At 40.8% G+C, this 12,253-nt stretch overlaps 1 annotated feature.

Annotated features, from left to right (window-relative positions):
• Nucleotides 8,806–9,009: a silencer, noted in NCBI's record as "fragment chr17:12287658-12287861 (GRCh37/hg19 assembly coordinates)". NCBI's record gives its function as "represses an EF-1alpha promoter that drives an FKBP-Casp9 reporter gene in an ReSE screen in K562 erythroleukemia cells {active_cell/tissue: K562}" and the evidence as "EXISTENCE:reporter gene assay evidence [ECO:0000049][PMID:32094911]".

Raw genomic sequence — 12,253 nt, forward strand, 5'->3', positions numbered from 1 at the left:
ATGCTTCTATCATAAAACGGGGATCCCTAAGAGTCAAACCCTTAAGGGAAAGTGAATTAGATGTAAATTTTCCATTCTAGTTCCAGGGGACTGCAGGGAAATGTTTGTTTGTTTGGCATTGAACAGAACAGGTGAAAACTATCCCTAGGAAGTTGTAATCACAATCTTTCCCTTGTGTGGATTTCCCAAACACATCCAGAACACCTGGTTGTCAGTTACAACTTGATTTGCTAATTCATTTAAAAATGGTCCAGAATTAGTTAGTAGTGCCCCCAACACCTGGCTGAGGCAAAAGCAAATTATCTTTTCCTCCGTTTCAAAGAAGTTTCACAAAAAATTTTCCAAGGAAAATGAGTATTTACAACAAAACTAACTGAGCACACCAGGAAATATGGTACCATGACCAAGAAGCAGCAGAAACGACTGATGGTGTAGACTCAAAAGTGTTTAGATATTGGAATTACCAAAAAGAGATAATAAAACAACTGTTCTCTACTATATATATATTTTTTAAAATACATGATTAGAAGTATCTTCTTCTGGAAATAAGCAACTCTTAAAAAACTGATCTGGCAGTTTCAAAGACGAACCAAGTAGAACTTCTGGAAACATAAAAGGTAAAGTAATTGAAATAAATTAAATCAATGAATTAAATAGCAGATTAGACATGACAGAAGAGTTTGCAAACTGTTATAAATCAGATCTTAGAAAAATGTAACACAGTGGTAGTAACAAAATCAAAATCAACTGTCACCTGAATAAAAATTGTATAAAAAGAAAGGAAAGGAGAGAGAGAAAGAGAGAAAAAAAGAGAGAGAGAGACAGATGGGGTGAAGGGGGAGGAGGGAGGGGGGAGGGGGAGGGGGGAGGGGGGAGGGGTTGGGGGAAGAAACGGGGAAAAAAGAAAAGAGAAGAAAATTCAAATTTTTCCCTAGAGAAATACCAGGAAAGTAATTTTGGATAGCGTAAGCTACTGTGAATAAACAGAAGCCCCAAATTTAGTGACTTCAGCATGACGAAAGTTTTCATTTGCTCATATAACCACTCAAGTTAGGTATCCCTGGTCAGCAGACAGCTCTCTTCCATGTAGCAAGTCAGGCCTCTTCTCTCTTATGACTTTGTATCTCCATCACTGTCTGCGTTTAGCTGCTGAAAAGGAAAAGATGGTATGCGGAGGAATACTTGTTTTGTTTCTTGAAAGTTTTGGCCCAGAGTGACACTTATCCCTTTGTTTATTAATGAAAACCAGTTATGGTCAGAAAGGCTGCAATGGAGGCTGGGAAATGTAGTCCCTAGCTGGCCGTCAGTTCTGAGCTTGATCTGTGTACCCATGAAGGGGAGTGCAGGTTTGCTTGACAGCCATCTTTGCCACCTTTGTTTCACCAGGAGATATAAAGACAGAGTCTCAGAAAGCCCCCCTTAGGCATAGTAGAGGATAATATTGAAAGCGGTATGACAAATGTTGTAATTGTTTTTTAATAAAATGTTTAATTAGAGTGCACCAGATGTTGCAGAACTTTCTCCTTAGTTCAGCTAAAACCAGGCTCTTGTCACATGGCCAGGAAAGATGAGGCTCGCAGACACATAGAAGGGTGAGGAAAATGAAATTTATTGGGCAAAAAGGAAAAAAAAAACAAAACTCTCAGTAAAGCGAGATAGAGTCCTGCTAGCAGGTTTCCTGCCTCACAGATTGAATCCCAGGTCACCACACAGGAACAGGTCAGGCCAGGCCAGGCCAGGCCAGGCCAGGCCCATTCCCATCTCAAATGGCATGAACTTTCCGAGGCTCCACCCCATCCTCCCAGTGTGCAGGTAAGCATTATTCACAAAGAATCAGTCCAGAAAGGGCAGGCTTCATCCAGGACCAGAAGTCCAGTTTTTCAGTCGTCAGGCTGTTTTAGACTTGAAGGCAGAGTTTCGCCGGGGACCCTTGGCTGCTTCCTGTCTCTATCACACACATTCAGAAAAGTATACCAGTCCTCAGTGTACACAGCTTAACCCTTTTCTCGTTTTTCCCGAGAATACTACCAGCGGCACTGGCGGCTGCAGCAATTATCCTGAGATAACTTTGCGACAAAATATCTTGCTTTTATTATTATTATTGCATTGCTCTAGTGTATCAGCTTTGAATACAAAATCATTGTATTTATAGCTTCTGTTTTTAGTAGTGATATTTCCATTTAGAAAATATAGTAATTCTCAGTCACTGAAAATGTCAAATCCTAGAAAATGTAGCATTCCTATGTGTGAGGTTAACATCATTCTCCAACACTTGCTGGCCGAAGATTCATTTGATAAATCCAATTTTTCCGAAATAGATGATTCTCCTGATTCAGACAGTTCTGATGTTAATTCTGTTTAGAAACAACTCCAAGAAGAACAGTTTTTATATTTTATTTTTCTATTGAAAATCAGTCAGATTTGTTTCAGCCTCAAAGAATGTGTTTATGTAAAATTCAAAGAAGGCTGGCAGGAAGCTGCACTTTTTTTTCTAATCAGAAAAAACGGTTAATGAATGATCACAAAGTGAAGGAAATACCCATGTAAATACCAAACAGACCAATAAATAGAATATTGCCAGCACCTGAGAGGCCCCCACCTGTGAGCCCTTCCCATCACTATCCTGAACTTTCTACTCAAAGATAACCACTGTCTTGACCTAAAACACCACAGACTAGTTTTGTCTGTCTGTGACCTTTTTTTTTTGTTTTATTTTTTGAGACAGAGTCTCGCTCTGTCACCCAGGCTGGAGTGCAGTGGCACCATCTTGGCTCACTGCAAGCTCCGCCTCCCAAGTTCACGCCATTCTCCTGCCTCAGCCTCCCAAGTAGCTGGGACTACAGGCGCCCGCCACCACGCCTGGCTAATTTTTTGTATTTTGAGTAGAGACGGGATTTCACCGTGTTAGCCAGGATGGTCTCGATCTCCTGACTTTGTGATCCGCCCGCCTTGGCCTCCCAAAGTGCTGGGATTACAGGCGTGAGCCACCGTGCCTGGCCTGTTTGTGAACTTTATGTAAATGTTATACTGTATGGTTTCGTTCCTGTCTGGCTCCTTTTGCTAAAAGTTTTCTTGGTAAAATTCCTTTGTAGGAGAACAGAGAATGGAGAAGATCAATGTTGAAGCTAAAGCACTTGGTCCATCAATTCAAATGTTAATGTCCTCTGGAAACACCCTCAGAGACAGACCCAGAAATAATGTTTAATCAGATATATGGACATCCCATGGCCCAGCCAAATTGATGCATAAAATTAACCATCTCAGCAAGGGTGTATTGCTTACTATCTTTGAATTCAGAGTGCTCTGGGAAGCCATTAGTATACTTTAGGGGGAATAAATGGTGTTAGTTAATCTAGAACACTGGCTGGGTGGACTTTGGTTAAGGGAATTCTTACTCACCATGAATCCATCTGCCAAATGTTTATTGAGTGCCTACTGTGAATCACCTGGTAGAGGCTCACATTTGTCACAGACTGGTAAGAAGGTAGCTTACTTTTCCAATCTGCACTTTGATTTATGCCTTTGCACATTCTCTTCTGCCTACTTGGTGTCTTTTCTATGCATTTTTCATCACCTGGGAGATTTCTGCTCATCCTTCAACATATGCCTTAAAAATCACCTTCTCAGGGAAGCCTTCCCTGCCCTCTAAGCTTGACTTAAAAAGGTTTGCTGTTTTGCCTTTTGCATTCTTCCATAATAGCACCTATCGCTCTGTATTGTAAGAAATCGTTTCTAAGTCTCTTTAAGCTGTGGCCACAGTCCTTAGTACATAGAAAGTGCTCAATACATGTTTGTTAAATGCACTTGATTTTTATATATTAGTCCTATATCCAGCAACTCTGCTGAATCCAGTTTCTAATTTGGGTAGTGAAGCTGTTGATTTTTTGAGACTTTCTAAGTATAAAGTCATAAGTAGCCTTTTTCTTCCTTTCTAATATGTATATCTTTTTTGTCCCTTTCCTTATTAAGTAGGATGGTCACCAGCAAAATGTTGACAGATGTGCCTGTTCATGTTTTGGATTCTAGATGAATGTTTTCAATATTTTACCATTAAGTGTAATATTTGCTGTAGATTTTGATACATACCCTCTCTTAGATTAAAAAAATTTCCTTCTCTGCTTACTCTGCCAAGTGATTTTTTTAGTATCATGAAGGAATATTGCATTTTATCAAATGTTTTCTGCATCTATTATGACTACATAATTTTCTGAATTATGCTAATGATGTGATTTAAATGAATTTATTTTTAAACATTAAACCAACCTTGCATTTCTCAAATACACTCAACTCGGTTATAATGTATTATTCCTTTTTATATTGCTGTTTACTTATTTTTTCTTATATTTTATCTAAGATACTGTATCAAAGTTCATGAATGATATCAGCCTATAATTTTCCTTTGTGATACTGTCCTCATCTGCATGAAGGTTATGCTTGTATTATTTTAAAAGTTACAAAGTTTCAATTATCTGGAAGAATGTATAAGATTGGTGTTACGTCTTTTTTTTACATTTTTAAATATTAGATGCTAAAGCTATCTGGGCCTGGATGTTTCTGTGCTGGAAGATTTTTAGTTACAGACTGTAAGCCAAAAACAAAATTCTAAGCCCCGCAGCTGACTGAATGGATCATCCTTTCAGCTAAGGGGGCCCAACTAAACCCAAAAAACTAGTTCAGACCACGAGGAGAATGGGATATGGTCAGACATGCCTCATTATACTCGCCTGCCTTTGGAATTCAGGCACATGACCGATCAGCACTAACATTAAAATGGAGATCCTAAGACAGAACAGGCTCTTTGTAGCAATAAGACACCAAATTCCAACCTAACTCTAGTCAGTCCATCTAGCATAATAGTCCGTCTAGCATAATAGATGCTATCACATGACAGCAGGGCCCTAAAAGAAACCAAAGTATTTTTCCCCAAAATATATTTCTTTGAATATTTTGAAACGGTCCTGCAAAGTTGTCTCTTGTGGGGAAAATTTACACACTATAGAGAACCCCCTTCCCTTTCTAGGTCTTTTTCTGATCCTGAAGAGATTGACTGAGAGTCTCGCACCTTTTAAAGGTCTGAATATAAAACATTTGCCATCTACTGGCAGCCTCAGAGGGATGGCCACCTCTGAGACTGTATCCACATAATAAGAACCTTGGTCTCCACAACTCCTTATCTTTTTTTTTTTTTTTTTTTTTTTGAGACGGAGTCTCGCTGTCGCCCAGGCTGGAGTGCAGTGGCGCCATCTCAGCTCACTGCAGGCTCCGCCCCCCGGGGTTCACGCCATTCTCCTGCCTCAGCCTCCCGAGTAGCTGGGACTACAGGCACCCGCCACCACGCCCGGCTAATTTTTTGTATTTTTAGTAGAGACGGGGTTGCACCATGTTAGCCAGGATGGTCTTGATATCCTGACCTCGTGATCCGCCCGCCTCGGCCTCCCAAAGTGCTGGGATTACAGGCGTGAGCCACCGCGCCCGGCCCACAACTCCTTATCTTAACTCAAACATTCCTTTCTGTTGATTCCCGGTCTTTAGATAATAACTTAATTCTTTTAGCCAGTTGCCAATCAGAAAATCTTTGAATCCACCTATGACCTATCACCCCCACTCCTCCACTTTGAGCTGTCTTGCCTTTCCAGCCTGAATCAATATAAGCCTCACATGTATTGATTGATGTCTTAAACATTTAAAACCAAGCTGTAACTCAACCACCCCAGGTGCATATGCTCAGAACCTCCTGAGACTGTGTCATGGGTCATGATCCATAACTTGACAAAATAAACTTCTAAATTGATTGACACCTGTCTCCGACACTTTTTGGTTTACAATACTCAATTTCTTTGAAAGATACATAATTTTTCAGATTTTTAACATTTTTCTAGCTATTTGATAGGTTTTCATTTTACCAGGAATTTTTCCCTTCTATTGAATTTTTATATATAGGCATAAAGTTTTTATAATATCACTTTTTATACTGTGCTTTTGGATTTTTTATCTTCTTCTGTCTTTATCTTAACTATTTCCAGTCTTCCATTTTCTCTGAGTTGAGGAAATGGAGTTGTCTTTTTTTTCTAGCCTTTTGAGATGAATAGATAATTGATTTTAGCCTGTATTTTTTCTAATCTATGTATTTAAGGTTATACATTTCTGTCTTGAGGTATGTAGAGTGGAGCTGGAGGAAGGCGCGCAGGGGTGCAAGGGTTCTGCACGGTTGACTCTCCCCTTAAATGGTTGTATCTGTCCTTGGTTTATTCATATTTGGTTGGTTGGCTCTTCCCAGCTATGACCAAACCAGAAAGGAAACAATGATTACTGGGTCAATAATTTTGTTCGTTGCATCACTGGCTAAGAGACTTGCAGAGTCCTTGAGATCTTATCATTGTACAACTTCCTTACTACTTTCTACCTAAATTGCTCCTTACTGGGATAGTGGTGGTAGTGGGATTGTTAGAGGAAAGAGGTCCTGATCCAGACTCCAAGAGAGGATTCTGGGATCTCGTGCAAGAAAGAATTCGAGGTGAATCCATCAGGTGAAAGCAAGTTGATTAAGAAAGTAAAGGAATAAAAGAATGGCTATTCAGGGCCAGGCATGGTGGCTCACGCCTGTAATCCCAGCACTTTGGGAGGCCAAGGCAGGTGGATCACGAGGTCAGGAGATCACAACCATCCTGGCTAACACGGTAAAACCCTGTCTCTACTAAAAATACAAAAAATTAGCCCAGTTTAGCCAGGCGTGGTGGCGGGCACCTGTAGTCCCAGCTACTCGGGAGGCTGAGGCAGGAGAATGGTGAACCTGGGAGGCGGAGCTTGCCGTGAGCCGAGATCGTGCCACCACACTCCAGCCTGGGCAACGGAGAGAGACTCTGTCTCAAAAAAAAAAAAAAAAAAAAAAAAAAAAAAAAGCATTCCACAGGCAGAACAGAGGCACGGGCCACTGTTTGCCCAATTTTTATAGTTATTTCTTGGTTATATGCTAACTAAGGGGTGGATTATTCATGAGTTTCCTGGGAAAGGCATGGACAATTCCCTGAGGTAAGGGTTTCTCCCCTTTTTAGATCATATACGGTAAATTCCGAACACTGCCATGACATCTGTAAACTGTCATAGTGCTGGTAGGAGTGTCTTTTAGCATGCCAATGTATTATAACTACTGTATAATGAGCAGTGAGGACGACCAGAGGTCATTTTCATCGTTATCTTGGTTTTGGTGGGTTTTGGCCAGCTTCTTTACTGCAACCTGTTTTATCAGCAAGGTCTTTATGACCTATATCTTGTGCCGACCTCCTGTCTCATCCTGTGACTTAGAATGCCTAGCTTACTAGAATGCAGCCCAGCAGGTCTCAACCTTATTTTACCCAGCCCCTATTCAAAATGGAGTCACTCTGGTTCCAACACCTCTGACAGGATGGTGGAAAAAAGAATCCGAATTGAGGGCTATCAAAGGAAGATTTGGCAGAATTGCTTCATAGTATTTTACTTATTCAGTAAACATTTACTAAGGGACTAAGATATACAACATACTGTGGGGATGGGGGTTGTTGGCAGCATGAATAAGAGAAAATAAGTGTCCTGGTAGAGGTCACAGTTTCATGGGGGACTGACATGTTTACATGACTCCTACTGTTAAGAAGTGATAAACCAGGTCCTTAACAACAATATTCTAAAAAATAGCAACATGAGGACACTTTCCAAGAAGGACTGTCTCTTTCCATACTTTTATTTGTTCCTGTCACATCATGTTTTTGACTGAAGGCAAATTATTTAATGTGTTTATTATTTAATTTGCCTCAGTTTCTTCATCTGTAAAACACTTTCCTCATTTCTTAAATCACATAGTTTTGGAGAAACATAAATGAGAAAATTTCAGTACAGTCAGCCCTCTGTATCTATGGGTTATTCCACATCTGCAAATTTAATGAATCTCAGATGGAAAATATTTTTAAAAGAACAATAAAAATAACAATACAACAATAAAAACTAATACAAATAATACAGTGTAACAACTATTTATATAGCATTTACATGGTATTAGGTGTTGTATCTAAAGATGATTTAAAGTATATGAGAATGTATTAATCTGTTTTCACAAGGCTGTAAAGAAACACCTGAGACTGAGTACTTTATAAATAAAGGAGGTGCTGGGTGTGGTGGCTCACGCCTGTAATCCCAGCACTTTAGGAGGCTGAGGCGGATGGATCACCTGAGGTCAGGAGATGGAGACCATCCTGGCTAACATGGTGAAACCCCGTCTCTACTAAAAATACAAAAAATTAGCCAGGCATGATGGCGGGTGTCTGTAGTCCCAGCTACTTGGGAGGCTGAGGCAGGAGAATGGTGTGAACCTGGGAGGCGGAGCTTGCAGTGAGCCAGGATCACACCACTGCACTCCAGCCTGGGCGACACAGCGAGACTCTGTCTCAAAATAAATAAATAAATAAATAAATAAATAAAATAAAAAATAAAGAAACAAAGGAGGTTTAATTGACTCACAGTTCTGCATGGCTGGAGAGGCCTCAGGAAACTTATTATCATGGCGGGAGGGGAAGCAGGCACCTTCTTCACAGGTAGCAGGAGAGAGTAGAGTGAGAGTGACAGGTGAAGCCAGCTGGACTTCCTGAGTCCAGTGGGGACTTGGAAAACTTTTCTGTCTAGCTAGAGGATTGTAAACGCACCAGTCAGCACTCTGTAAAAACACACCAATCAGCACTCTGTGTCTAGCTAAAGGTTTGCAAACGCATCAATCAGCACTCTGTAAAATGGACCAATCAGCAGGATGTGGGCAGGGCCAAATAAGGGAATAAAAGCTGGCCACCTGAGCCAACAGCAGCAACCCACTGGGGTTCCCTTCTGTGGTGTGGAAGCCTTGTTGTTTTGCTCTTCACAATAAATCTTGCTGCTGCTCACTGTTTGGGTCTGCACTACCTTTAAGAGCTGTAACACTCACTGCGAGTCTCTGTGGCTTCACTCCTGAAGTCAGCAAGACCACGAACCCACTGGAAGGAAGAAACTCCAGACACATCTGAACATCTGAAGGAACAAACTCCGGACACACCATCTTTAAGAGCTGTAACACTCACCACGAGGGTCCGCGGCTTCATTCTTGAAGTCATTGAGACAAAGAACCCACCAGAAGGAATAAATTCTGGACACAAGAGTGCAGGAAGAACTGCCATTTATAAAACCATCAGGTCTCGTGAGAATTCACTCACTCTCACCAGGACAGCATGGAGAAAACCACCCCCCACAATCCAATCACTTCTCTCTTTGGATATGTGGGGATTACCAGCCTCTCCCTTGACATGGGGAATTACAATTTGAGATGAGGTTTGGGTGGGGGCACAGAGCCAAATCAGATCAGGGAGAGATGCAAATACTACACCATTTTATACCAGGGACATGAACATCCTTGGATTTTGGTATCCGTGGAGGCTCTGGAACGAATCCCTCTCGGATTCTGAGGGATGACTGTAATGTGCCCATCATGTTGCCTGGCACAACCCAGATCAGATATTATTGTTATCTCCTACAGTTTTTCTTTATGCTTTTCCCCCCTCCTATTCTTTAGGTGTCCCTTCCGTTTTTCCCTACCTTCTCTTTTTCTTCTATATAACTGACCATAATAAACAACAAGATAATTATTTTCAGTGTTTTAAGAAAATTTTTCAAAAAGGTAGTTTTTCTGTTCTTGATTTTAAAATCATACGCATGAGCTGTCATTGAAAAAATCTAATAAAAAATACCAAAAATATTTTTAAAAATTTCGTGGTGTAAGGAAAACTTACACACATTTCCCCACCATACAATTATTTTTGTATCCCTCTTTAGTACGTATGTCCTTTTATAGCCTAACCTTTTTGAGGGCAGATATGGTGTCTTAAAGTTTTGGTATCTTTTTCAGCTACAAATATTAGCTACCTAATAAATACTATTTTTGAACAATGGCATGCAAGAATAAATGTAGAGTTTTAGGTATAATTTATCAAGGAAGAAGAGAATGCATTGTCACAGAAGAAGAACACTGTGGAAATATAGTAGATCATCTGGTAACATTTATATTCATGTCTTGCCTTCCCTCTCCTATATATATGGCAGGTAACATTTGTTTGGCTCTTTTAACTCCAATTAAAGCATTTTTGTGTGTGTGTGCTTGTGTGTGTGTGTGCATATACATTTATTCTTTTTTCCTCAGAGGCACACACACATATTTATGCACTTGGAGACAATGAAAACTATTATTTTCCAGATGCCAGAAAAGAGTTGCTTTGACACGGAATTGTGAGCTGCAGTGTTGAGTTCATGTTGGAATTCGTTCCCACTGCACCCTGAGTGTGCCATCAGATAGTAAGTAACTCAGCACTCCCACTCAGAGACAGTGACTGAAGGGGGAAGCCTTGAAGCAACTTGTCATCAGTCGTGATGTTGCTTTCTAGCTGTCAGAGACCATGTAGACATCAAACCAGAAGGATTCAGCACGGTATTAATGCGCGTTTTCATGGAGATCTGACTTTTTCTCTGTGAATTGCCCAAATATTGAGACCACAATCAAAACAAAAACCTTGGAGTATCCCAGTAGAACTCCAAGGTGTGTATTGTGGGGGCGGGCGGGGAATCAGATTTTAAAAAATGTAATGTGGCCAGTCTGTGGTCTTCTTTTATTACCCAAAGATTTATCACATTCATTGTGTAATTAAATCTCTACATCTGTGGGGCACAAATGTTTTATGTTTCCAACATTTATGGTTTGACATCGGAAACATCTGTGCAGGCCCAGTATACAACATCTGGAAGACATTTCTGAGCTTTTATGACATGCAGAGTGATCTTTGTTTTGGAACAAGTGTGTGGTTTTCTCCAGTAGCTCTTCCTGCTGGTTATGTCCTTCTAATTGGCATTTTGCTGGGGGATTGAAAGAAGCCTGGCTTCCTGACCTCCTGCTGGGTGTCAGGAGATGCTTCAGAAGAATCTTCACATGGTCAAGATTCACAGAGGGAGAAGATGCTGAGTCATGAATTTAGCTGGCTTAAATCCCTGATCAAGGGGAGCAGGTTGAGAGCAGAGAAGGGAACATGCATTATTGGGCCAGAACAGTCCTAGTTGCTTTCTTCAGTTGAAGGCATTGATGGCAAAATGAACTTCATTGCTCCATTTACCAGTGAGGAAACTGAGTCTCTGAGAGGTTAGTTCACTTAAGGTCACCTGGCTTATAAGTGGCATATCTGAAATTTAAACTGAAGTTTGTCTAACATTGTATTGGAACATGGTATTCTCGCTCTCGAAGAGTGGGCAAGGTAGTTTAACATTCAACAAATACTTGTTTAGTATCTATGAGGTGTTAGGAAATGTTCTTAGTACTGAAGATGGATCAATGGGGAAAAACAGATAAAATTCCCTGTCTTCATGGTGCTTAAATGTGTGCAATCAAATAGTGCAATAAAATCATGCAACTAGATTATCTAGTACGACAGAATGAAAAGAAACAATAACACAAGTAACATTATAGGTAGGAAGTTGGTGGTTGCTACGGAAAAAAAGATAGAGCTATGTATGGGTTTCAAGAATGTTGTGGAAGAGTTTATTTTGGTTTGGGTTTCCCTAAGCAGAGCCTGCAACAAGGACTTGGAAGTGGGTAGTTTATCTGGGAGGTGATCTCAGGAAGCAAAATAAGGGCGTGCAGAAAGTGACTCGAGGTGAGGAGAAAGGACAAGAATGGACATATTAAATAATTGATTACCCTGGGGCTCAGTTCCCCTGGGAGTCCTCCGGGGGCCATGTAGAACACACCCTAGCATTGTCCTGTGGCAAAATGGGGAGCTTAGGCCTTTTATCCTTCCTTGATTAAAGGTTGCTAGTGAGGAACTTCAACTCTCCTAAACTATTCAGATTGTGTCTACTAAGCACGAAGGATATTCTGTGACTTCAAAGCAGCAAAACACAGAGATGTCTGGGCACAGGTGGAGCCTGGGGCACTGCAAATGTTGCCAGAGCACACTGAATTCAATGGACAGTTATGCCACATTTGACCTACAGGTATTTGTAAGGCTGCAGGCATTTGTGTCATATACCCTAAGTGTCCACTATGGGGTTAAAATGTAAAGTGATGAGGTCATTGTAGGCTTCACTGTGTAAGTGATGTATAAACAAAGACTTGAAAGAGGTTAGGGGTGGCTCTCTAGAGGTAGTGCCAGTGCAGAGGGCCGTACATAAGGCAATGTCTAAGGACATCTGGCATGGTCAAGGAACATTGAGTAGACCTGAG

The sequence above is a fragment of the Homo sapiens genome, chromosome 17, assembly GCF_000001405.40.
Source record: "Homo sapiens chromosome 17, GRCh38.p14 Primary Assembly".
Classification (NCBI taxonomy): domain Eukaryota; kingdom Metazoa; phylum Chordata; class Mammalia; order Primates; family Hominidae; genus Homo; species Homo sapiens.